Genomic DNA, 27,707 nt, shown 5'->3' on the forward strand with positions numbered 1-27,707 from the left:
CCAAAGCACAAGTTCTCAACCACCATGCAGTATCATACTGCCTCCCCCATGGACTCATTACATGACCCCCCTGTTACCCATATCCTAGGCTTGCTGCGAGGTTAACTTATGTGTATCCAGCCTCATACATTGATGGCAGAAAGTCTCTGTTCTGGATACTGAACCCTCACCCTTTATCTTGAACTCTGGTCATCTTGAATTTTTTGATGAGACCTTAGAGAAGTGATTGACCTATTTGGATCTCACTGTTGAGTTGTAAAATGGAGAAAGGTTACTCGCTTTCCTTGAAGATTGGGGCTGGGAGAGATGACCTCTTGAGCTTCCCAACCCGAAGTGTCATCAGAGAGTTTTGGCAGGGACTGTGTGGTAGTCTCCAAACCCATGCTCCTGTCTTCCTATGAACATACACCATATCCATAAGCCTCCCTTAGTTCCAACTTTCTGGCCAATTTCTCTTAATCCCTGTTTTCTATTTCCAGAGGAAACATGGCCAGTGGGTATAGTGAAAAAAATTAAGATAACAAAAACAGTGACTAACATTTACTGGGTATGTAGAATGTTCAAGGGTCTGTGCTAATCACTTTGCAATAAAAACAAAGTAAATGAAGACAACAATGAACCCTATTCTGTGGTCCAACCACAAAGTGGACCTTGCATCCATTCCCTTTAAACCCTTACCACTCAGCTACTTAAGCCCAAATTCTGACCCATGATGTTCCACAGCATGCACCATTGCACTGGGTCTACAGGCATTGAGCAGTTATATCCTCATGCTCCGAATCTCATTGCTGTTTTTTCTTCTTTCTTTGAAACTCTCATTTTCCAAGTACCAGGATCTCTGTTTACTAATCAATAAGAAAACAACAGGTTAAAATAACTCATACTATTGTTAATGGCTTATAACAGCTTAATATGCTACCCTTCCTAGACATATTTACTTAAAAAAGAGGACATTTGTTAATTGAAAGGAGTTAATGTACTAATGCTGAGAGTGTAGCCCATGACAGAAGGCACATTACACATGATTAAGATATCAGGATTGGTTCTAGGCTATTTGGGGGATTGGAAATATTGAAGAAACAAGGAGATTCCAAAATCCCAGGCCTATTCTGAATGCCAAACACTCCTGAGAGACAAGGCAGGAGGCACGGGGGGACAGATGGTGTGGCACAGTGCAGTGGAGGCACCATGAAAAGATGAATAAGGTGTTGAATGCTCTCAGCCAAGCCATGGCAGCAAGAGCAACTAGACTCTCTGTGATACGAACAGGAGACAGGGAAGCAATGGGTAGAAGAGGGGGGTTCCCCAGCAAAGGTCCCACCCTCAGGCCTGGAGACTTGTGGCCCTAAATGGGGACAGGCATTCCTGTTTTCATGTCCAAAAAGCTGCCTTTTGGCCAGCCATGTCCTCTATCCTGTACCCATATAAACCCTGAGCCCCAGGCTCCAGAAGCAGATGAACAGATGAGGAGACTAGGAGACAAGCAGACAAATGGCAGAGCAGAGAAAGAGAGAAGAGAAGGAATGCCTGAATGCTGAGAGGAGTTCGGCTGGCCAAACTCCAAGGGAAGATCACCTTCCCACTCCATCCCCCTTCCAACTCCCCATCCATCTCACTGACAGCCACCTCTACCACTCAATAAAACCCCACATTCATCCTCTGAGTCCATATGTGACCTGATTCTCCCAGAAGACTGGACAAGAGCTCAGGATACAGAAAGCTGTCACACTGGCCCTCTGCCCTTGCAGAAAGGCAGAGAGGGCACTGAGCTGGTTAACACTTAAGCTATCTGTGGATGGCAGAGCTAAAAGAGCTTTATAACACTGGAGTCGCAGGCACCCACCCCTAGATACTACCACAAGGTCAAAGCCCAAAGAGCTCACCCCAGCTCCTGCACCTGCCTGTATGCATGCTCCCCCTCCTGCAAGGGGTTTGAGCTCTTGGTGGTCAAACAGAGAGCTGCACTCCCATTGCATGCCCTGAGAAGGGGGCCAGGGTACTCTCCTGTTTCATCTGGACCTTGGTTCGTGACTTTGACATCGGCAGATGGGGCCAGGTGACCTGTCACCTCTTTCAGCACAAGTGTTCTGAGCTGTCATGCTCCCTCCTAATCTCCTTGGGCTAATAGGATGGCACTCTCTCCCCTTACCCTGCTCAGTTTTTCTGTATTGTGCTTGCTACCCTGTGACATTGATTACATCGTATTTTGTTTACTGATTTGTTTACTGTGTCTTCCTCACTAACATATTAGTTCTAGGAGAGTTCCCTTCTCTCCTCTAGCCCAAATGAGCCACTCTAGAGGCCAGAAGAACAATTTGACCTTGGGCACTACTGAGTAGTGTTATTCTCAAAGAGGTTCACACAAGGAAGCTTATTATGTCTTCCACTTACAGGTGAAAAATGCTACTTATAGTGGTGCTAAGCCCAGAGAAAGAGCACGTAAGTCAAGGCAGTTCCCAGGAAATGGATCTGAGATCCTGCCGATGGCAGGGTCTCTAGCAATAACTTTGCCGATGGGTCATTTTGTCAGTGTGGACTTAAGGTCTTAGAGTGGTTGATACCCTCTACCCTAGCAAATTGTCTTCCAGGAATGTATCTTCTGGAAATTATCAAGAATCTATTCTCCCTAAGTATCCCTGCTTTAATTAAATGACAAGGATGCTTGAAACAGGAGAAAATGGGGAAAAACCCACTGAAAGGAATTGATTAAATTAATTACAGTTAAACCATTTTGATGGATTACCATGTAGCCATTAAGTGAAAAAGACAGCTTACAAAACAATATGACCTGAGTTTTGTAATAAGAAATAGTAGATACAGGCTCAAGCAAAGCAAAATTTTAATGACTTCTTTGGGTGGTAAAACTACGTAAAGTTTTAAAGGTTTTCCCCACGCCTTTCCGAATTGCCTGACAATTTTTATTACAGATACATATGAATTCACAACCCAAAAGAAAGATGAAGTTTGTTAAATGTAAGAGTTCCTGTCCTGGCTGTCTTGGCCCCAGATGTGTGATCTTGAGCAAGCTGCCTGATGCCTCTGTCCTCTCTCTGTTGCCTCATCTGTAAAATGGGAACAAAATCATGGATCCATTCGTTATTATGGGGCTGTTGTTAGGTTCAAAGGAGAAAGTAAAGACAAGGGGGTTTTATAAACATTAACCATATGGACATGATTATACACTTCATACATTTAAAACTATGCCTCTATTATAAGACAGAGGAGCACTGAAGTACTGCAATGGTAGGTAGCATTGAGATTAATGGGCCCAAATCATTTCCACTACATTATAGTATTATCCTGAGAGGATGTCCATGAAGGTTTGGAATGTTTATTGCTATATAATGTCTCTTTTCCATGATAAACTGTTAGTCTGTTTTGAGTCTGAGGCAAAAACATAACACTCTTTCTTTGTATGAGGTGGACTTTTACCCTTTAAAGCATAAACCTTCTCTCTGATACAAGCATTTTCTTTTCTACTAAGAAATGTGCATGAAAACAGAATGCCACTTCTCTTTGTCTTCAATGGAATATTCAACCAATAGGATGAATGGAAACATTTTGAAATGTGGCAAGTTTTCTTTCTGGAGTTGCCCATGGTTAGTGGGTAATTTGGATCCAGTCGTAGAGCATAAGGAAGCATAAATTATAACCAAAATGAGACCACTGGAGACAATGAAGGAAACTGCTATTATAAAAAAAAAAATGCTGAGCGGGAGAAACATTTGGGGAATGGAAATTAGGGCAGGTTTTGAAATATTTTCAAACCCGTTTACTACCATCTGTTAGGAGTCTATGCTGCTCAAGATTGATCGTTTCCTATCTATGAAATCCTCTGGCTTTGGAAAACAAATTCGGTGAGAGATGATTAACTTCCCTTTTAATGGCAAAGAGGTAAAGTAGAGACATGGTGTGACAGGCTTGGAACCAGAATTGTGGGGACAGCGATTCAAGAATGCCTCTGCCTGCATTTTAATAAAAGGTAGGAGGGATTTTTGAAGCTCTTTTCGGTCCTAAAACCTGTTCCACCACTGTGTTCCTTCACTGAGAAGCGGTACTGCTGCAGACGAAGCAGCTGTTTAGGAGGAAAATCAGACCCCAGGAAGCCACTTCTGCTGTGAAGCCATTTGCATAGGGCATCCCGCAAGGTCAGTTGGTTGCAGAATCTTTTGCATAATTCCTGAAAATGAAGGCAGTTTAGCATTTGGATCCATTTATCAGATTGTGGAGTTAAAAAAAAATCAGTAAACAGAATCAGATTGCGTTGCAAAAATGGAAATCAAACAGAAAACAAGGACTATCTTGCAGCAAAATGATGTCTTGACTTGGGTTTTTAGAGATTAATGAAGTCATAAAACAAACAATTTGTATTAGCAGAAGTGCCTCCTTGTCCCCCAAAGGGCCAGCTCAATTGAAATGGAGATGCTCCTCTGGATTTCCCAAGAGCCGCACTTCTCACCATTCACAATTCACCTGTCCTCAACCCTCCATCGCTTCCCTATGTTACCCGGAATAAGATTGCGTGTTTGTGTGTGTCAGTGTGTCCTGGCGTCCGGTCCTCTAAGACTCCATCTGAGCTTCCTCTTTCCTAGGCACACTTGACAGACTTAAGCTGGTTCCCACTGGGGCACTATCTTCCTGGCTATTGCCTCTGGCTAGAAAACACTTTCAACAAATGGCCAGTCCCCTCAATTCATTTAGATCTCATCATAAGAAAACTTTCCTGATCACCTATTAAGTTAGAGCCCCTTCCTCATTTCCTTTGGAGTGACTTCCACTGACTGTATTTATTTATCTGCTGTCTGCTTCACCCTCCAAAATGTAAGCCCCACAGAGGCAGCGCTAGTTCTGCTCACCCTGTAGTCCCAGTACGAAGCAAAAGGCACAGGCATGGTAAATCGGACTCTATCGTTCATTCCCTTCCACATCCCCACAGTATGGCATGTCCCTGCCATCTTGCTCTTCACTTGGCTGTGCAACGTGCTTTGACCTCATTGTGTATAGGGTGTATTTCCCCGCCCCTTGACTTTGGCTCTAACCACGTCTTGCTCTGGCCTATGGAATTTTAGTGGATGTGGACACATAGACATCCAGTTCTGCTTGCCCCTTTGTGAGTCTGTCTTTGCCATGAGAAGAACATGACTCCAGAAGCTGCAGGCACTAGGAGATGAGAGACGGGTGAGCCCCCCTGGACCCGGCCCAGCCAAGTCCGTCCTAAACCAACTGGGTTCCAGTTGACTCAAAAACACATGAGCAGGAAATAGACGCTCTTTGTTGTGTGCCACTAGGGCTTTATTGTTGTTTTTTACACAGCAAAAGTTGACAGATAAAAGAGGTCCAGAATATTTATTCAATGAGTTAACAGTTAAGGTTTTAGTATTCAAAAAATGACTAACCTATGAATGCAAAAGAAAAACTTTACATGTTAAAAAAACATACCAAATTAAACACAAAACCCAAGTATGCAGGATGTGTTATGTATGGTTCTAGACTTTTGCTCACATGAAAGGGAGACAAAACAAGAAATGTCCATGGCCCTGGGATGAAGGTTTGATAGCACACACTCTTTTCAACGAAGCTGATCTGGTTTAAAGAAAGAGAGAACCCAGAACAGCTGGTCCTGGTGCCTCAGTGCCCGTGATTACAACACACAGCAAGCAGCCCCGTGTTTCTTTTAACACTGGATGTGTGTGTGTGTGTGTGTATCTCTGTGTGTGTGTCTTGTGCATCTGTGTGTCTGTGTGGGTGTCTGTGTGTGTGTATCTGTGTATATGTGTGTTTGTGTATATGTCTCTGTGTGTGTGTCTGTGTGTGTTTGTGTGTCTGTGTGTCTATGTGTGTGTGCCTTTGTGTGTAGGCCTCTGTGTGTATGTTTGTGTGTCTCTGTGTGTGTCTGTATGCGTGTGTCTGAGTGTATTTCTGTGTCTCTGTGTGTGTTTATGTGTATGCCTCTGTGTGTGTCTCTGTGTGTGTGTCTGTGTGCATATCTTTGTGTGTGTGTCTCTGTATGTGTGTGTGTGTCTCCGTGTGTGTCTGTGTGTATATCTGTGTGTACACACATGGGCCTGTTTGTGTGTATTGGGGTAAGGAAGACAGGAAGGCAGTCATAAATGGATTGAAGGAAAGAAAGAAATCCCCAAATTGAAAAACTACTTTTTAATAACATGTTGTACACCAAAATTGAATTAGACTACTATTAATCTTGTCATTGATATTGGTAGAGACACATACATTGATATATTTTAAATACAGATGAATACTTTATTTAGAAATACATGTTTCCTTTTAAGTAGAGGCAATAGTACATTTTCAAAGCACTCAAATAGTAAAACTGTCTAACAGTCCATTAAGAACAGTTTCTTTTAATCAGAAAAAACGCACCATCTTTGCATTTTTGAAGAATTTTCAGAAAAAGAACTATTACAGCTTCTCTAAGAACACTATCTATGTAGGCATCTTTTGTAGATGTCATGTTATTCAGTATTTTTACTACCCTTAAAAAGAAAAAGAGAAGCCAGAAACAAGGCAATACTGTCCATTTTAAAGAATTCTGAACTCAAAACGGCTCTATTGTCAAAGTGTCTCTGAGTTTTACTGCAATCAAATTCCTGGGGGATTCAGAGGATTAGTGAAGTTTCGGTTTGTAGGTTTTCCAGTTACTGACCTTTTTTGGAGGCACCTCTAAGCTGCAGGGTTTCGCCAGTTGTGCAATACAGCCAGCCATAATACGAACCCAGCACTATTGCATCAGTAGAAACGGGAATCAGACCATGATCCAAAGCATGATGTACCACGGGTGCCAGTTTCTGAAAACCCATAAATCTTGGAGCATCCCTAGAATGTATTCAGTTTCTGGTGGAAGAATTGCTGCATAGTTGCCAAACCTGCCTTCTGCTCTCTCGAATGTTCTTTGTCAGGAAGATATCATCAACGGAGGAAAAAATGCAAACGCTTTTGACTATAGTCATGGACATTTCTGTGACGAGAACATTATTTTGTCATTATGATAATCGGATAAATGTGGTTTGTTTGGTTCAGAAAGATGTAAGAATTTTTGGCCTAATTATAGAATTTACATTTTAAATGGGAAACATATGGGTATATATTTAGATATGACATAACATCCTCAAGTGTATAAAAAGCAACAATCTGACAGATGTTCACAGAGAATTGTATACAGAAGAAATATCAGGTGCAATGTAAGTGATAGCAGCCGCTAGAATTTGACTTTATTGCCAAGGAAGAGAGGAGAGAGCTTAACTTCTGTGTTGCCTCCGCTTGATCATTGTATTTTTCAAATTAACTTTCCCCCAAAGATAATTTTTTCCTGCCAAGGCAGGTCTTATGAGGAGTTGGAATAGGTTGGTTTCAGCACTCGATGTGTTTTTCTGGGATGCGGGGATAGCCTTAGTGCCAATAAAACAAACTCTCTTTATTCTAAAGTGAGTGATTAAAATCATCTCATCATTTTTAAGGTCTTTGGTGCTTGTTATATTAAAATATCCCTAAAACAGTGACTTTTTAATGTTTTCTCCAACTTTTCAAACTTAATATAACTGAGGAAGCTTAGTGATCAAATCATTGTTGTATGAAAGAATATAGTACCAGGAATGTTATTGCAGTGCTGGAGGTCAGAGCAAAATACTAAGGACATTTAGTGCCCTAAATGTCTAGCAACAGGGCACTGGTTAAATAAATCAGCCTACTTCAATATAATGGCATGCTGTATAGCCATGGGAAAAAATAACATTAAAGAGGGATTTTTACGTAACAAGAACATATTCACAACGTGCAAAGTGAAAAGGCAAGTTATAAAACAATATAACCACTGCGAACAGGCAAAAAGGAAGTGTACCAACAGGTTGATAGTTGTTATCTTAGGCGTTGGAGCTATAAATAACTTTTTTTTAAGAGACAGGATCTCGCTCTGTGGCCCAGGCTGGGGTGCCGTGGCGTGATCATAGCTCACTGCAGCTTCAACCTCCTGGGCTCAAGCGATCCTCCAGCCTCAGCCCCCAGAGTAGCTTGGGATTATAATAGGTCTGTGCCACCATGCCTCATTTTTTAATTTCAAAATTTTTATGTAGAGACTGGGTGTCACTAAGCTGCCCATGATTATCTGAACTCCTGGGCTCAAGCAATCCTCCCCTCATCCTCCCAAAGTGCTGAGATTACAGGCATGGGCCACCACACTTGGGCATAAATAATTTTAATGATCCTTATATATGATCCATATATAGAGAGACAGCATAAATTTTCTGCAAGTGAAATGATATAAATCATAATATATCATGTCTGCCCATGGTGAGTAGCCAATAAATGCTAGCATTTATGATTATGGTTATTATGAGAACAATAATACATTTAATACACTGTTTATAAATAAATTATAACATTTATTTTTTATAAAATAAAAGAGTCATCATTTTTTAAAACTCCATTTAAATTCCTGAGGTCAGGTTTGTCTGGTGTATGTGTGTGGTGGAAGAGGGAGGTGGGGTCAATTTAGAGGAAGTTTCTGCCCCTCTTTGGAGATGGATGGGTGGTAACCGAGGAGGGAACAATGAATCAGAAACACCGAAAGCGAACTTGGCATTCTTCTTGGGCTTCTCGGGTCCACTTTTCTTTGACATTCACGAACCCTGGAGAAGTAATAGGCTAGCTCAGAACATAACAGTCTGTGGGTACTTCCTTCTTAGCATGTATTTCCCTTAAAAATTAAGCTTGTAGGCCGGGCGTGGTGGCTTAAGCCTGTAATCCCAGCACTTTGGGAGGCCGAGGTGGGCGGATCATGAGGTCAGGAGATTGAGACCATCCTAGCAAACACGGTGAAACCCCATCTCTACTAAAAATACAAAAAAATTAGCCGGGCGTGGTGGTGGGCACCTGTAGTCCCAGCTACTCAGGAGGCTGAGGCAGGAGAATGGCATGAACCCGGGAGGCGGAGCTTGAAGTGAGCAGAGATTGCACCACTGCACTCCAGCCTGGGCGACAGAGTGACAGAGCGAGACTCCGTCCCAAAAAAAAAAAAAAAAAAAAAAAAAATTAAGCTTGTAAAGATATCACAGAGCCATGGAAAAGAGACACCTCTACTTACTTCCTAAAAATACTTTTTCATCCTTTGCATCTTTCCCATAGACTAGGATTTCCATCATACAACAAAAGTTATGTTACTTTTTCCAATTGAAAAAATACATAAAAATAATTATATATTGGCTGGTTTTAATCACAACCTTCTGGTATTCCAAGAAAAAAAAAGGAATACCTAATTTACAAGTCAAATTAGTTTGATTATTGTTTTTGTTATTTTCCCCACCTAAATTTCTCTTTCAGTGTTGCAAAATGTTAGTTAATAACTTAACCAATATTAATAACAACCCAAACTAAGTTTATAAAATGTACGTAATTTCTGTAGTTGAAACTATGAAATCTTGGAAAACAAAACCTTTATTTCAAAATAAACTCAAACATTTCAAAACAAAATCAAATTTTTTATTTCAAAAGCTAATTTAGAAAGTACTACTTCCACACAAGTGAGTTTTTAAAGAAATGACCATCTCAAAAGGTAGTTTATTCTCTGTCATAACTGACTTTACTTTTGGGATGATGTACAAATGTGTTTTTGTATCTGTTTTTGGTGTGCTAAGAACTTTTTATTAAAATTTCTTGTAGAATGTTTGGAAGCTGTTTTGCAAAGAAAATGTCAAATGTGTAGAACATTTTGTAAAACTGTTAAAAAGTGTTAGAGAAAGAAGATTAAGCAATTCGATAGTGGTTATGTGACCACTTCAGACAGAAACTCATTTTGCTTAATTTGAAGCATACAACCTGTGTGCAAAAATTGGCTTGGTCAGAAATTGTTCCTGGCGGGGTGCAGTGGCTCACACCTGTAATCCCAGCACTTTGGGAGACCAAGGCGGGTGGATTACCTGAGGTCAGGAGTTCAAGGCCAGCCTGGCCAACATGGTGAAACCCCGTCTTCACTAAAAATACAAAAATTAGCTGGGCGTGATGGCATGCTCCTGTAATCCCAGCTACTGGGGAGGCTGAGGCATGAGAATCGCTTGAACCTGGGAGGCAGAGGTTGGAGTGAGCTGAGATCGTGCTACTGCACTCCAGCCTGGGAGACAAGTGAGATCCCATCTCAAAAAAAGAAAAATAAAAAACAAAAAAAAATCCTATTTGGTATGTGTTTCGAGATTTAAAGGGAAGCTTTAGGAAAATATTTTGTTTGTGAATTTGAAGAGGGGAAAAATGTCCTTGCAGGAAACATGATTTTATGAATTTATTCTTCTACCTGCAAACTCTACCACTTCCAGATGCCATATGTTTTAAAACTTCATTCAGGTACTATAAGAAATGCTGAGCAAACAATTATTGTGCTGGCACAATTTCGGAAAAGCACAGTGGTCTCAATATTTGTCCATTCTATCCACTAAAACCAGAAATTGTTCATGAGCGAAAAGGGAATTATTCAGAAAATCTAGTCACATGGTTTAAAGATGGCCATAATTTCTTTGACACCATCCATTGAAAGTTGTCTCCTCTCTGCCCATTGAATTCGAATAGGCTAAGTGACCCATTTGTAACCCATAGAATGTGGCAGAAGTGAAACTGTGTGGCTTCCAAGGCTAGGTCAGAAAGGATGATGCAACATCCGCCTTGTCCCCTTGTCCACTGGAGCATTCACTTTTTGAGCCCCAAGCTGTGATGCGAGAAGTCTAACCACCTGAAGGCCACCATGCTGTGAGGAAGCCCAAGCCACATGGAGAGAGACCACATGTAGACAGTCTTGCCTACAGTCCTAGCTTAGCCTAGCCTTGAATCATCCCAGCTCAGGTGACAGATGAAGATCTGTCAATGAAGATGCCCTCACCCCTGAGATGACTGTGGCCCCAGATGTTTGTGTCAGTGTTCCAGTCTTCCCACCTGGGCTCCAGGTGTCAAAAAACAGAAAGAATCCATCCCAGCTTTACCATTGTTGAATTCATGTCCAACAGCATCCATGAGGCTGATACTGATTTTTTTCATTGCTAAGCATGGGTTTCGGTTTTGTTTCATTTTGCTTTGTTTTCATGCAGAAATAGATGACTGGTACATTGTGTAATTTGAACTTATAGGATAAATACTTGAGGAGATGATATGTTGTAAATATGTTACACTGAAACTGCATTTTATTTCTGAGTCAGAAACATTTAGATTATATATTCTTTGTGTTTTAATAAAATATAAAGTTATTAGTTGCTTTTAGTTTTCAGTATAACAGAATCATGGGGCATCTTTTGTTAAGTCTTTATTTGGAATATTTCAAACTGAACAAAAGAGTGGCTTCTATGACTCGTCTAAGGAATATGATGTGCTGCTTTTTGCTGGACTCTAGCCCCAGTCCTTGGTCATTTCTGTGTTCAGTTCACCGATAAGTGCTCATCCCTGTGACCTGGCCTTGCTGCTGTAGTGACAGACGCTAATCACATCACAGACCAAACACTTCACTCAGGCAGTTTCACCGACTGCTCAGCTATGCCAAGGCTCTCCTCGGGGCTACAGGCGGAGCTTGGTTAGTCAATGCTTGTGGGTCTTGTTTCATAGCAAGCTTTTGTTCCCAATTTAGTTACAAATAAATTTAATTTTTACAGCACTAAGTAGAAAATGAATGTGAAAAAATAAGTTTAAGCTGAAGCAGCTTTAATCTGGATAATTCTCTTTTATTGCAATAACGCTTCAAATAAATAGGCTGACCTATCTATTTTTTACCTAATTATCTCTGAAAAGAGAAAGTCACTCTGTTTATAAGGACATTCAAAGTACTTTCTTTGGCTCTTGTATTCAGTTGTTATTTCAAAATTCAAAAAGATTCCTTTGTCTTTATAAACATAGAGCCTAAACCACTAAGTTATCAGCTTTTGAGGAAAGTTTTTTGAATCGTTACGATCCAGCATTTATAAATAGAAATGTGAACTTTGACTGGAGAAAATGTTTATAGTTTTCCAGAATGCTTAGAACATCTGTATTAGTCCTGTACTTTCATTGCCTTATAATCATTGCCATGTAGTAATGCCAACTACAGATTATGAAATATTTCAAATATACATACAAGACTCCGCTAGTGGCAAATTCTGGTAACTGGGCTGCCCTGTAAACATGAGAACAGAGTCTGGGATTCACAGCAGAAGTTCTACCAACACAAGCTCAAACGGGGGATGAGAGGGGTCAGGATTCACTGTAAAACAGCGATTTTTAAAACATCTTCGCCACAGTTATGGACTGAATTGTGTCTGCCCCAAAATTCACAAGTTGAAGTCCTAAGCCCCAGCACTTCATAATGTGACCTCATGTGGAGATAAGTCTTTGAACGTCTAATTAGTTAAGATGAGATCATACTTCATGGACAAGGTAGGCCCTAATATGGCTGACACCCTCATAGAAAGGGGAAATTTGCACACACACACACACACACACACACACACACACTCAACAGCACGTGAAGATGAGGGTGGGGAAAGGAGTGAACCCAACGGATTCCAAAGATGGCCAGCAAACCCCTGGTAGCCAGGGGAGAGCCCTGGAACGGATTCTTCCTCTCAGCCTCAGAAGCAATCAACCTTGCCAACACCTGGATTCTGGACGCCCAGCCCCCAGGACTGTAAGACAGCACACTTCTGTTGTTCATGCCACCCAGTCCACAGTACTTTCTTATGGCAGCCCTAGGAAATGAATACACCCGTAATCGGCAGATTTTGATTTAACATGGAAGTTTCTAACGCTCTTTATTTATTTTTTACTCCATAGTGATGGGAGGTGAGATAATTACCCAGTGGATTTACAGTCTGTCTAGACAAACTGAATTCATTCAGAGAGCTGTCTCACAGGAATGAAAAACAGCTCTTCCCTCAGCTAACTTGCATATGTACTTGAGATTGTTTGAACACTTCCAAGGTCCACCAAAGGAACACAATCACAGTGTTAATAGGAATCCTGACTGTTGAAGCTCCTCACTAAAGCCAAACTCCGTTGGGCCTTTCCCGGTCCTCGGCATCAGGAGCCCGGGCTGCACGTTCTTGTGCCTCATTTCAGGAGGGTCCAATCTTTTGGCTTCCCTGGGCCACATTGGAAGAAGAATTGTCTTGGGCCACACCTAAAATACACTAACATTAATGATAGATGATGAGCTAAAAAAATTGCAAAAAAATCTTATAATGTTTTAAGAAAGTTGATGAATTTGTGTGGGCTGCATTGAAAGCCATCCTGGGCCACGTGCAGCCCGCAGGCCACAGGTTGGGAAAGCTTGCCATCCTTTCAGAGCTTTGGTTGCTGTGACAATGCCCTGTTGTTTGACCACTCCTTCGTTTCAGACATCATCCCTAAAGAGATCACAAGCCTGGCCAGATTAGGAGATGCTTAAAGTGAAGCCTGGGATCTTTGGGACCTGGTCCCCATGGCTCCTGCACTCACTAAAGAAGAAATCGAGCCAGGCACCACCGCCGGGGACCTTGAAAAATGTCAAAGCACATGAAATTGTTTGTGGGTGGCTCCCATTTTCTTGTACTCTTTCCTTCCTTCCTTCCTTCCTTCCTTCCTTCCTTCCTTCCTTCCTTCCTTCCTTCCTCCTTCTTTCTTTCTCTTTCTTTCTTTTCTTTCTTTCTTTCTTTCTTTCTTTCTTTCTTTCTTTCTTTCTTTCTTTCTTTTCTTTCTTTCTTTCTCTCTCTCTCTCCCTCCTTCCTTCCCTCCTTCCTTCCTTCCTTTCTTTCTTTTCTTTCTTTCTTTCTTTCTTTCTCTCTCTCTTTCTTTCTTTCTTTGAGTCTTGCTCTGTCACCCAGGCCGAAGTGCAGTGTGGTGATCTTGGCTCACTGCAACCTCCGCCTCCTGGGTTCAAGCAACTCTCCTGTCTTAGCCTCCCTAGCAGCTGGGATTACAGTCGCCTGCCATCACGCCCAGCTAATTTTTGTATTTTTAGTAGAGACAGGGTTTCACCATATTGGTTACGCTGGTCTGGAACTCTTGAACCTCAGGTGATCCCCCCGCCTCGGCCTCCCAGAGTGCTGGGATTACAGGTGTGAGTCACTGCGCCTGGCCCTTGTACCCTTCTTTCAAGATGACCTCAAAAGCCCTCCAGAGTCCCTGCATTGAATTCCCACTCCACTCAAGGAGGCTGCCTTGGTCCTGGGGTGCAGAAAAGACTAAGAGTTATGTGTTGAAAGCTGTGGTGTGATGTCTGGGAGAGGCAGGACTCCTCAATTCAAATGACCTACAATGGAGACACAGTGTGAGGCAGATGTTCCCCAACTATAGGACGTCCTCTACAAGTAAAGAGCAGGGGAAGAGTTTAATATTGTATTAATCCTGGATCACTGCTCTCCCCTCACTTAGATACTGAATGGATAAACTGAGGTACCATTAAACAGACCATGAGGCAGTAGGTTTTCCATTCCAGGTGTTAACAGACAAAGTGGCACATTTTAAAAAAGAAACAAAAACCTAGTCCTCTTAATCGTATTGCTTAGAAGTGCTGTGACAGACAGAGATAAGCAGGTAGCTAGATAGATGTGTAGGTGTAAAGAAACAGAAAAAGATAGATTGACAGAAAGCAAGATGGCCTGTAAGTTAGATTATCTGCAAGGACGAGAGATAAATCGATAAATAGAGCAGTTACCTAACCACTTGCATTTTGTTTCCTCCCACATTCTTCTTAGCTTTAGATCAGCTACCAGAATTTTATCATTATGTACAGAGCAGGAAGGTACTTAAGTGATCTCCATATTCATTCTATGATGTTTCTTCAAGAAATTTTAATTAAGTCATTTTTGCATAAAAAATCAAGTACTATGAAGTTCCATGTATTAAGTGCACATTCAATATTAAGATGCATAAGTTATAAACATCCAAAAGACACTCCCCCAACTCCCAAAGAAACTCACAGCTTATGGACCTGCAGATGGTTCTGATGTGGGCAGTGGGAGCTGTAGCCTGGAAAATGAAGCTGTGACACCGTATGAAGTTCTGTGTCTTGGATTCTGTTTGTGGCTACCAGTGTAGCAGCTGACCACCCCTGCTGGCTGGTTATCAGGTATTTTAAAAGATACCATACATATTTGCAAAGAAGTCTCATTAAAAGCGATGATGGAAATACAGTGTGGAATACAGTGCCTGGCTTTGCAGCAAGACCTCCTGGTGTCAGCTCTTAGGGTAGTGGTAAAACACCCTCAGCTCTACAAGAGGACACAGTTCGTTCATTCATTCATTCATTCTTTCATTCATTTAAATATTTCTTGATGTCTACTCAGTGCCAGGATCTGAGCCAGGAAATATAGCGATGAACAAGTCCAACACATCTCTTTCTTCATGATGTTTACATTGTAAGCAGGGAGAATCTTCAAGTACTCCTATTGATTTGAAATAGACACTAGAGGAGAAAATCATGAAGGAAATAGGCTCAGAACTCATTGAGTTCAACAGAAGCAGTGAATTCATCAAACTCCAGACAATACTGTCCCATCTGAATTTCTTAAGACTCACGATCAGTGTTTGCCTCTCTTCATTGGTGATAGCCCTATTCTGTGGGGTAAAGTTTCTGAACAGAGCCCTAGAGAAGAATTCTGCTCTACCCATCATTTTCTCCTTTTCATACATACAGGTTTATTACCCATGCCACCATTTAGCTGCAGAAGAGTTAGAATCCTCCAACGTGGTTGGTGATTTGCCTGTGTAACCCCTTTCCATGAAACCACATTCTCCTGGCCAGGCAGCCGAGGGTGGTTTTAATGCCAGGAGTCTCCACAAAGGACATGAACAGCCCCACAGAGGTTGTCCACCTCACACCCACCACATGCCCTGGTAAAAGTGCCATCTCTCTTCTCCTTATCTTTTGTCTATTAAGCAGATAAGGGGAGTTGACTCCTATGCTACGCTAAGGGACACGACAAAGACAAGTGCCTCCCCTAGCCTGTGGCCATCACTTGATGTCCCATCACTCTTCCTCGTCTTTAGTGGAAGTTATTGGGTTGAACAACAGACATGACATCATTCAAGTGCCCTCAGCCTGGGTTGGGAGAAACAAGCCTATGTATTAACACAATATGTCATGTAATCAACCCTTCTTCTCTCCCCTTTTTCTTTGTTGAAGGATGGCACAGATCTACACAGTTGTCTTCAGGTTAGTGTGAGCTCTGAGCCCTCGAGAGTTTTCCTCAGAAGGAAGCTGTTCTGGAGAGCGTCTGTCATTTCCTCTCAGCAACTTTTGAAATTGAGCATTGAGGGAGTGTAGGAAAATTCCTAGGTTCTAGTGAATAGGCTCACTCAAGAGGCTGAAGAGAAAATATGCAAACTAATTATTGTAAAAACCTTTCATTTCCATAGTTTTCTAAAACAGTGATGTAATCATATTAAAGAACAGCCTGGGTTATACTTATAGTCTACCTATTAATAGGACAGCCTCTTACCGACACCTACATTTTTTCTGCTGCTCCCAAATGATGACATACACTTTGCTGTTTTAATACGTAAACCAAATTCATAAGCAAGTAGATAAGCCCCAGATTCTTCTTGCAGACACTGAACATTGTGGTCCCATAAATGCAAGTTCCATCTCTGCCATCATTATCACAATAATTATTATTTAACAATTACCATTTTTGCATTTCCCTCTCTTGTACTGGGCTATCATTTCCAGGGACTGTTTCTCTTGATCATTCCTGTATCCCTAGCATTTAGTACAGATTCTGGCACAAAATTGTCACTCAATGAACATTTCTTGCGTAGATGAATGGGTTTGAATTCGGAGCTGTTGATTTGCTTAGAGAAGTACCTTTTGTGAAAATGTCCACATGTTGTAGGTAGAAACAGGAGGTGAAACACGTGGAAATGATCACAGAGGAGCTAAGTATGATGCAGAGACACAGCCCTGTTCACGACAGTGCCACACAGAGGTGGCCGGCTGGGCACTGGAGGGGGTCAGGGGCTGCCTGATTGTCAGAACTGTCAGTGGCCTGATGACCACACACATTGCTGCTGGGCAAATTCTTACCTGAGAATTTCTTCCATTTCCTGGAAACACAATTCAAAATCTATATAAATGCCTTGTTTTTCTGGCGTTGTCTAAGAACAAAGTGTTCCTTGGTTTGAAATTTTCCAGATGACTATTTGGAATTTTACTCATTTTGGTGAATTATGTTATATTTTCTTGAAAGTTAGGCTGAAGTTCACTTAACTCTTTCTAAAGACTCAGAGTCACCCTGTTGGCTAGCTCTTGAGAGCATCTACAGAATGGTTTTATGTATGCACATACTTTTTATGGCTTGAAGAATACTTATGCCCAGACCAGTTGTTTGTAAGTCCCCCTCTACCCTTGTGGTGTGACAATAGGAATGGGCAGTGGGAAGCAGCAAGCAGCAATGGGGTAGCGGTGTGCAGAGCCCGTGGCTATCTGTTTTGTAGACTGGTACTTCTTGGATGTTGTGTGAGCAAAGAATCCTGGTTTCATATATACTACCATGCATTACTTTAATTAATCTTCAAAGTGTTTTGCTCAGGCAAGTGGGGACTTATTTCTCTCTCCACTTTACAGGAACACAAATTGATTCAGTAAAGTTTATTTTTTTCTTATTTATTTGTTTGTTTATTTTTTGAGATGGAGTTTTGCTCTGTCGCCAGGCTGGAGTGCAGTGGCATGATCTTGGCTCACTGCAACCTCTGCCTCCTGGGTTGAAGAGATTCTCCTGCCTCAGCCTCCCGAGTAGCTGGGATTACAGGTGCACACCACCACACCTGGCTAATTTTGTATTTTTAGTAGAGATGGGGTTTCACCGTGTTAGTCAGTCTGGTCTCAAACTCCTGACCTCAGTTGGTCCACCCACCTCAGCCTCTCAAAGTGCTGGCATTCCAGGTGTGAGCCACCACGCCCAGCAATTCAGTAAAGTTTAGATTTACTTTGTGAGAAAACACATAGCTAAAGCAAACATTCGTGCAGGGCCTACTTCGTGCCAGGTGTGGTTTTAGGACCTTTATACTATGATTTTATTTCAACATTTTTAGCATCAGCAATCTCATTCTACTAGGTCATGGCAAAACTGGACTAAGAGCTGTGGCATTTTTCTCTGAATCCCATGTTCTTTTCAGAGGGATTACATTACTTCTACAAAATAACACTGTCTTAGTCAATTTAGTGTTGCTATAACAGAGTATCTGAGACTGGGTCGTTTAGAAAGAAATGAGGTCTATTGAGCTCATGGTTCTGCAGGTGGGAAATTTCAAGGGCATGGCGCTGGCTTCTGGCCAGGGCTTTCCTGCTGTGTCATAACATAACAGAAGGTCAAAACTGGGGTAGGCATGTGTGAAAAGGAAGGGACCAAGGAGGGTGACATGTTTTATACCAACCTACTCTTGAGGGAACTAATCCATCTCTGCAAGAACTAATCCAGTCTTGCAAGAGTAAGAACTCACTCACTATCCTGAGAACGGCACCAATTTATCGTGAGGAATCCACCCCTATGACCCAAACACCTCCCACTGGGCCCCACTTCCCAACACTGTCTCTTGCAATGAAACTTCCACATGGGTTTTGGTGAGGACAAGGCACATCTAAGTTGTAGAAAATACCCATAAAAAGCTTGAGAAAGCACATGGATGGATATACATGACTTTGTTTCACCATCTTTGCCCTTTTCTATTGATACAACGATGCTCTTGAGTCTAGAAAAAAGTGCTTCAGGCTGAACGGGTTTCAGATGGCTGTCCACTGGATTTCTGGTTTTACCTTTTATCTCTAATGGGCTCACCCCGCACCTACCTTAAGGCCAGGTTCATCACTGCAAAACACAAATCCAATTCCAAAACACTGGGAAGCAATCAGATTGGATTGTTCTTTTCTTAGGAAAAGAAAGCAAAAACTTACCCCCCCATAAGGCACCACTGCCTAAAACCATCTGTAAGCATTTCTGTCATTTCCTTGGAGGCTTGAGACTCACCTGTGAGAGGGAAAGCATCAACCTCTCCCACATACCCTTAGTTGCCCTAAACGATTCACCCCTGTGTTCCACCTTTAGTAAAAGAAAAGCACGGTGATTACCAGAATTCAGTGCAGAGCCATCCCTTAACAAGCAATGGTTAAGAAACAAGGGAGGGAAGGAAGAAAGGAAGAAAGGAAGGAAGGAAGGAAGGAAGGTAGGTGGGGGGGGGGAGGGAGAGAGAGAAGGAAGAAAGGAAGGAGGGAAGGGAGGGAGGGAAGGAAGGAAAGAAGGAAATGGAAGGAAGGAAGGAGAGAGGGAGGAAGGAAGGAAGAAAGGAAGGAAGGAAGGAGGGAGGGAGTGATGAAGGAAGGAAGGAAGAAAGAAAGAGGGTGGGAGGGAGGGAGAGAATGAAGAAGGAAGGAAGGAAGGCAGGGAAGGAGGGAGGGAAAGAAGGAAATGGAAGGAAGAAGAGAGGGAGGAAGGAAGAAAAAAATGGAAGAAAGGAAGGAGAGAGGGAGGGAGGAAGGAAGGAAGGAAGAGAGGGAGGGAAGGAGGGAGGGAGGGAGGGAGGGAGGGATCAGAAATCATAGCCAGTGAAACCCAGAAAACCGTTAGGCAGGAATTAGGACAATACCTTACTCAGGTTTGCATTCCCAGCATTTAGCACCATATGCATCATGCATCAAAAATGTTGTTGGGTGAATGCTGAGCAACAGCCACACACTGAATAAACCAGGCAGGTTGACGTCACAGGGGAGGGCACAGTGTTCCTGGACTCTGAGTGGGTGGCTATTTTTCATGCCAAGTCATGACAGTAGCATTCAGTGTGGTGGGTAAACACAGTCTTATGAATCTCACTTTTAAAAAACTGGAAGTGCTATAGATAAAAGCTTTCATAATTTTGAGATAATAATGGTAAAAATTATCATTTTTGCTTACTATTTGTGATGGTTAATATTGAGTGTCAACTTGATTGGATTGAAGGATGCAATGTATTGCCCCGGGGTGTCTGTGAGGGTGTTGCCAAAGGAGATTAACACTTGAGTCACTGGACTGGGAGAGGCAGACCCACCCTCAATCTGGGTGGGCACCCAGCTGCCAGCTCAGCTGCCAGTGTGGCTAAAATAAAGCAGGCAGAGGAACGTGGAAGGACTAGACTGCCTGAGTCTTCTGACCTTCATCTTTCCCCTGTGTTGGATGCCTCCTGCCCTCAAACATCAGACTCCAGGTTCTTCAGCTTTTGGACTCTTGGACCTACCCCCCGAGTGGTTTGCCAGGGGCTCTCAGGCCTTCGGCTACAGACTGAGGGCTGCATTATCAGCTTTCCTACTTTTGAGGTTTTGGGACTTTACTGGCTTTCTTGCTCCTCAACTTGCAGATGGCCTGTTGTGGGACCTCACCTTGTGATCATGTGAGTCAATACTCCTTAATAAACTCCCTTTCATATATGCATCTATCCTATTAGTCCTGTCCTTCTAGAGAATGCTAATACAATATTTTTAATTTTTATATCCCACAATAAAACTCAGAAGTAGTTAAGTCAGGCTTAAATGCAAGAGAACGGTTTATATTAATTATTGGCCATAACCAACAAAAAATTTCAGAAAAGTCAGTATCATCATGCTGCCTTTATCCAGCACTGACTTTGTTAAGCCTTCCAGAATCTGTCATGTATGAGATTCAACCTGAAATACATACACGCAACAGGTGCATCTTAGGGCTTTGAGGCCAACTGCAACTCATAGTTGCCAAGAACCACCAGCCCTGAGAAACACCTGAAGAAGAAGATTGGTTTAGTGTTTGGGTCCTTCTATGACCTTGAAGAAAGCACTGGGGAAGACATGATTGTGCCTTCACTGAGTAGCCCCACCAGCCATCACCACTTCATTTCTTACCCACCTTTGTAGTATACTCATTCCTAATTAAGAAGGCTGAGGCAGAGCCAAGGGTTAAGTTAACGCAAGGCTGGTACCTTTCCTAGGCTTGCCAGTCATTTGCACACAGAGAAGACCATAGGAAACTGAAAGAAGAACAGAGAGAGAGAATCTAGGTTTCCTGACAATGTAAATTACATCTTAGTATGAGAAGTTAAACAATATCCATTGTTTTGAACTATTTTTTCCCTTAAATCCACAGTGGTAAGTCCTTTCTCTTTCAAGGACTGTTGATCATCACAGGAAACCGGGACCATCCGGTCAAGTCAGGGCATCTCTGCTAATCTTTAAGTTTATAAACTGGTACAAGAAATAAATAAAGAACCTGAGTTGGAATTGCCGGTTGGTTTAGGCTTATCTTATTTGGAGAAAGTAATAAATTGATTATGCTTTAAGTGAACAGTGGGAAGCGATTGATGATTCAATAACTTTAAATTAAAAGAAGATTTACTGGAAAATTGGCAGTGCTGCAGCAGATTTGAGTCGTCTGTTAAGTAACAGTTAGTGCCACATGCCATGACAAATCCAGAAGCCAGTTTGTGGGGAAAAAAAAAAAAAAAAAAAAAAAAAAAGGGATCCTCTTCCCTGGATATATTTTACTTTTGAGCCCATGAAGAAGATTTGAAGCCAATGAAGAAGATTCGAAGGCACCTTTCAGAAAGGGAAGTGAGTGGGGGCAAAAGAAACCGCCACCATCTGCTGCCTCCCAGATACGATGATAAAAAATATGGCATATTGTTTAGAAGTAAGGACATTGCCCTTTTTCTTTTCTTTTCTTTAATTTTGATGTGCATCATTATGATTTCAAATAATGAAATATAAGTGGACTTTTAAGTTCTGTTTCTGGTCTGTTGAGGTTGACACGGCTCACTGAAAGTTCATATCTCTGGCAGGTACATGAGGGAAATACACACCCCTCCCAGGGATGATGGAAGGTTAAGGTCCTAACACCTCCTGCACATCTGAGCAGCTGCACATTGAACCAGATAGTCCTGGAATGTGGGAAAACAGAGGCAGACTCAAGAGTCTGGAACATTATTTTAGGATCACACAAAAAAGATACATAATTTTCATAGGTAAGTGTTGTTTTTTTGTTGTTGTTGGAAAAAAGTTTCTCACTAATAACTATCTAAAAGGGAAGTAATTAGGGTTTCAGGCGTTCTAAAAATAACTGTAAAGAGGGTTTTGTTTTGGTTTTGGTTCGTTCTGGTGTGCCTTACAGCTTTCCCTAAGGCAACACACTTACTGACCTATTGCTAGGGCAAATAGGTGGAAAAAAACAAGCTTTCCTCTCTCTGGAGAAAGGAAGGGTCAGGTGTAACACTGAAGTGACTCAAAAGTAGGGGAGCTTGTATCAGCTCTGGTCTGCACAATGATTCCCCTGCTCTTTACATAGAAAAAGAAGAAAGGAGGAGAAATCTCACAGCAATGTCCTTGATTTAACCGTACAAAAGGGCAGAAATGATTGATCGTTATTTTGCCGTTTGGGCTATTGTTCATTTAAATTTCATGTGCCAATTCTGACTGATTAGCAGTGGCTGCTTGGAGCATTGTGTGAGGAAGAACTCTCAGGCACATGGTGAGCACTCAGTTAGCACTTGCTGTATGTTGAATGAATGCCTGTCTTGGACACAGGGAAAGGAGTGGTACAACATGTGTTGCAGAGTTGCCTGGAGTTGACACCAAGAAAGATATTCTAAAGAGGAGAAGGTTAGGGATGAGAGACAAAGATGCATGCTAAGGTTGATGAGCTGTTCTCCTAACATAAAGCCTGATCTGGCCTTCGATTTCAGTACACATGAGTAAACTGTTAAAGGATGCTACATTAATTGGCCGTGTATATCTGAACTCTTGAAACAATGCATGCTCTTTGACCCTACCTCCGCCCCACAAGTCTAGTTCTAGCAATTTAACCTAAGGAAATAATGAGGATGTGAACAAAGCCTTAGCTACGGTGGTGTTTGACAGAAGCATTTCTTATTTATAAAAAAGAGAAACCCGTGCAAAGTAACTCAGGTTCAAAAAGAGGTTAACATAAGGCAGTATTTCTCAAATTTGGCCTGTTGACATTTGGGAACAGATAATTCTTTGTTGTAGGGGCTGTCCTGCACATTGTAGGATACTTAGCAACGTCCCTGGATTTTATCCACTAGATGCCAGTAGCAGCCCCTCACTAGCTGTGACAACCCTATACCTTCAGATATTGCCAAATGTCTCCTGGGAGGAGTGGGAAACCCAAACCACTCCCAAGTAAGGATCACTGGTATAAGGGTATAGAGCTCTGGCAATTCAAAAAAAGCTGAAAAACCAGGATTCAAAATCTGAAGAGCTGCAGCATCTTGAGTGCAATCATCTCTCTTACTCCCATTTCCCCTTCTGCTGACCTTGTTTGATTTATAGGACATAGATCTGCTCCATTCTAACTCTGAGTCTCTGCTCTTCATAATTGCAATGTGTACTTAGGGTAATAATGACACCGCACACATAACTTTATATGACCTTTCAGCTCAATTATCCGCCACCGACTGCTAACTTCTTTCTGCTTCTTAGTTTAAATTAAGAAAAGAGGTAGCTGATTGGTTCTACTCATTGTGAAAAGTCAGGTGAGAGGCCTTAGGTAACTGGCTGCCCAAGGATGATCTCTAACCTGCTCTGGGGCAGGTGTCCACCTCCTGCTAGGTCAGCTGTGAGTGGACAAATTGAAAGATTCCCTCAAAATGTCACTGATAATGTCGTTCATTGCAATATGTTTTTCCTGCTTCTTCACCTGCCTGGCAATTTTCGATTAGATGAGAGACATTGCAACTTTGCCTGGTTTAGAACACTGGATATTTTTATATTCCTCTGAATATTCTTGAGCTTTCTTCTGGGACGCAGCTAAGTTACTTGGAAACAGTTTGATCTTTTAGGCTAGATTAACACCCCTCTAGTTCCACCTGATAAGCCTAGTCTAGGGCTAATTGTTCCCTACTACCAGGGCAAGATCCTCCTAAACACTCTACCCAGTGTCCTGTGAATTAGGAAATTTTCCAACCTGGCTGGAGGAAATGGATACTATTCCCAGGCTCATGTGAGCTCCAGCTACAGTTCCACTAATCTTTTCATGTGGTTCTTTCTTCCAGAGAAAGAAAGACTCAGGTAGTTTCCTCACATGCATGCTCTGATCAGTGCTCTGCCAAACACTTGAGGAGGATGGCCTGCAGACATCCATAATCTTCTTTTATGCAGCTCTCTCCTTCCCAGTGCTCTCTGCTGTGAACTCTCACCACTCTGATCTCCCCAGACATCATCCTTAACAAGTCAGGGAGTCTGCCAGTTTCTGTCAGAGTTTTCCCTTCTTCACTGTGGTCTTGAATCCCTTTAAGACTACAAGCTGGGGCTTAGCTTTGTTTGTTCTCATCTCTTTCCTTTGATGACTGATGTCCGATGTCCAATATCCAATGTCTCAAAAACCATTGATTCATATTTTGTCTCATTTTTTAGTTGGGGGGGTGGTAAACCTGGCTTCTGTTATTTCATCTCATCTAGAAGCAAAATTTCACAATAGGTTTTTTATAATTAAAAACTGAAAGCAACCTAATAATTCTACCAAGAGAATTGTGTGTATATACAGCATTGTTAGAATGAAAATTCCATTCACATTATTGACAATCCTGTAGGTGAATGTTTATTGATATGTAAATATGTTTATAACCTATCATAAGTGAAAAAAATAAGTGTATGATCAGTTTATTTTGTGTATATATCCATAAATATATACATATACATATACATAAATATCATATTATAAATACCTACACATATACAAACATATACCCATATATATTAGTATTTATCTTTCTATATCTGTTTCTATAAATAATATATACATAAAAGTATACACATATCTATTATGTGCCATAATTCCTACAGAAATCCTCTTGAGTTGGTAAGTATTTTTCTCTCTGCTAATCTTTATTTTGTAATTTTCTACAATAAATAGGTAATATTTCATGATAATAAAATATATAAACATTATTTTGAATTTACTGTTAGTTGATATTCAGTAAAACTACATTACCATATATAATAAAAATCAAGAATAAAATTCTAATTTTAGTTTTATGCTTACTTAAATTTTTTATTTTTTTGAGATGGTGTCTTGCTCTGTTGCCCAGGCTGGAGTGCAGTGGCCCCATCTCGGCTCACTGCAACCTCTGCCTCCCGGGTTTATGCCTCAGCCTACCGAGTAGCTGGGATTACAGGCATGCACCACCATGCCCAGCTAATTTTTGTCTTTTTGTAGAGATGGGGTTTTACCAGGTTGGCCAGGTTAGTCTCGAACTCCTGGCCTCAAGTGATCCGCCCGCCTTGGCATCCTACAATGCTGGGATTACAGGCATGAGCCGCGTGCCCAGCCTTACTTAACATTTGAATACATTTATAAAAACCCTTTCTGATTTGAAACACTTAAATTAAGCACTCTAATAAAGCTTTGATAAACTATTACTGTGTTTCTAACATTGTGAAAATAATGTTTCTTTTCTATAGGGCTATTCATTACCATTAACTAAAGACTCATTAAATATTTGCTTTTAAAGTACTTTTAGGTTTTCTTCTGCACGCTTTCATTAAAATAAAATACGTGAATGAAGAACAAATGTAAAAGAAACTATGATCTTAATATATAAGCTCAGGCCATCTAAGGCAGCAATTACGAAAGGGAAGACTGATAGAAAAAGTAGGATGGAAGAGTGGGAGCATGGCCATTCTGTGGGCTTTAGAGAAGAACACATAACATTCTCTAGGGATTCGCCCCTCCGGTTCTCACTACTCAGCAGCCAGAGCTGATATTCTATCATCAAATAACTAAACAACTCACTCATTTATTTCTATGATACTTTTTTTTTATTATACTTTAAGTTTTAGGGTACATGTGCACAATGTGCAGGTTAGTTACATATGTATACATGTGCCATGCTGGTGTGCTGCACCCATTAACTCCTCATTTAGCATTAGGTATATCTCCTAATGCTATCCCTCCCCCCTCCCCCCACCCCACAACAGTCCCCAGAGTGTGATATTCCCCTTCCTGTGTCCATGTGTTCTCATTGTTCAATTCCCACTTTTAATCCTAGCAATTCTGTTTTTTCATCACTCCTCTTAGAACTGAAGAGAGATGTGTGCAGGTGTGTACATGCATGTTTGTGTGTACAAGTACACACTAGACACAGAGACACAATAACACATCACACATGCACACACACACTCATATACACATATGCACACACAAATCTGCAGGCACACACATATCTACATACACATATGCACACAAAAATACACACACCACACACACACATTACACACATATGCACACAAAAATACACACACCACACATACACACATCACACACATACATATGCACACAAAAATACATGTACCACACGTGCACATATACATAGAAACATCACACACACACAAAACTATACTACAAATATACTACACACACACGCAGATACACATTCATTTCCCACACACACATATGCCCGCAAAATACACACACCACATGCACACACACATTACACATATAAATACCACACACACCACACACTACACACACATATATGCCCACCACTGCACATCACACGAATATACAGCACACACACACAAGCATGTGCAAACACACATATACATCGCACACAAACAAGTACACGCACACACCACACAACATCTAAAGGCTAGAAACCCCCATCTGTGCTGTGACAATGAACACAATCAGAGCTAGGTTTCTATTTACATCCCACTGAGAGAACATCGTCTGAATAGGGATTTTACAGACATTCCTCCAATAGCGTGCTCTGGGGGCGCACAGGGAAATATTTGGGGATAGTTACAGTGAAGCCAGTTTCAGCAGGCCTGTGCTCTGAACTGGGAAGGAAAGGGCAAGTAACAGAAATTCCAAATCAATGCATTTCCCTTCACCTGAGTAAGGGGCCCTGGAATCACTGGATGGGACATTGCGTCCGGGCTCTGATTAGAGCAGTTCATGTTATCTCCACGCCTTTGTTTCATCTTTCTACTACTTTAACAGCTTCCCCTCTCAATGGCCAAGACCCACTAAAAACAATCATCAGAAACAAACTTGTCAAATATATCTAGATGTACAAAGTTTTCCTTTGAGAAGGAGATAAGCCTCTTTCACAAGAGACAATAGGAATATTAAAAGAGAGTCCAAAAGCAAGCCACACGATGGCAGTGTGCGAAACGCTTGCATTTGTGCGTGGGCACGCGCAAAAGCTGTTCAGAAAAGAAGCCTGGGGGCCCTAGGGGGAGGAACTGAATTCTTTATGAAAGAGGGAAGACTTGAGCTGACCTTGAGATGCATTTTAAATCTTTCATTTTTTAAGAAAATATAATCGCATGGCAGAAAACTTTCAAAGTTCAGGGAAAAAATCACTTCATTGCAGCAGTCATTCTCTACATTCTTGGCAGGTTTATTCATAATAGCATGAAAGGAAAACAGCCCAAAGGTCCATGCGCAGCAAAAGGAATAAACAGATTAACAGTACAGTCACACGATGGAATACTAACTCCATAGCGCTAAAAAGGAATGAGTGGATACATACAGCAGCAGGGATTAATCTCAAATACATTAGGCTGAGTAAAAAAAGCCAGACCCAAAAAGTGCATTTATAGGAAGTTCAAGAACAGGCAAAACTAATCTATGGGGATAGGAAGCAAAATCATAGGTGCTGCTGATGTAGGAGACCCCCTGATAGACAGGGGCGCAGGGAACTTCCTAGAATTGACGCTGCATTCCAACTGGGGCATTGGGCAGGTAGTGTATACTGTT

General features: G+C 41.6%; 2 long non-coding RNA genes across 2 annotated transcripts in view, besides 1 other annotated feature; one reads left to right on the forward strand and one right to left on the reverse strand.

Moving 5' to 3' along the window:
* Window positions 10,740–10,799: an enhancer, noted in NCBI's record as "active region_2969". NCBI's record gives its function as "activates an Ori minimal core promoter by ATAC-STARR-seq in GM12878 lymphoblastoid cells {active_cell/tissue: GM12878}" and the evidence as "EXISTENCE:reporter gene assay evidence [ECO:0000049][PMID:35858748]".
* LINC00706 (long intergenic non-protein coding RNA 706) lies at window positions 14,768–19,645 on the reverse strand. Its single transcript, NR_108074.1, has 2 exons — window positions 19,576–19,645; window positions 14,768–15,400 (listed from the first exon to the last, which is right to left on the reverse strand). It is a non-coding gene; the product is annotated as a long intergenic non-protein coding RNA 706 (long non-coding RNA).
* A 417-nt stretch (window positions 19,646–20,062) lies between these two features.
* The window catches only part of LINC00707 (long intergenic non-protein coding RNA 707), a 63,309-nt gene continuing 55,664 nt past the window's right edge, over window positions 20,063–27,707 (forward strand). The window contains exons 1-2 of the long non-coding RNA NR_038291.1: window positions 20,063–20,352; window positions 21,769–21,951. This is a non-coding gene — a long non-coding RNA (long intergenic non-protein coding RNA 707). The remainder of the gene's footprint in view (window positions 20,353–21,768; window positions 21,952–27,707) is intronic.

The sequence above is a fragment of the Homo sapiens genome, chromosome 10 (genome assembly GCF_000001405.40).
Source record: "Homo sapiens chromosome 10, GRCh38.p14 Primary Assembly".
NCBI lineage: Eukaryota > Metazoa > Chordata > Mammalia > Primates > Hominidae > Homo > Homo sapiens.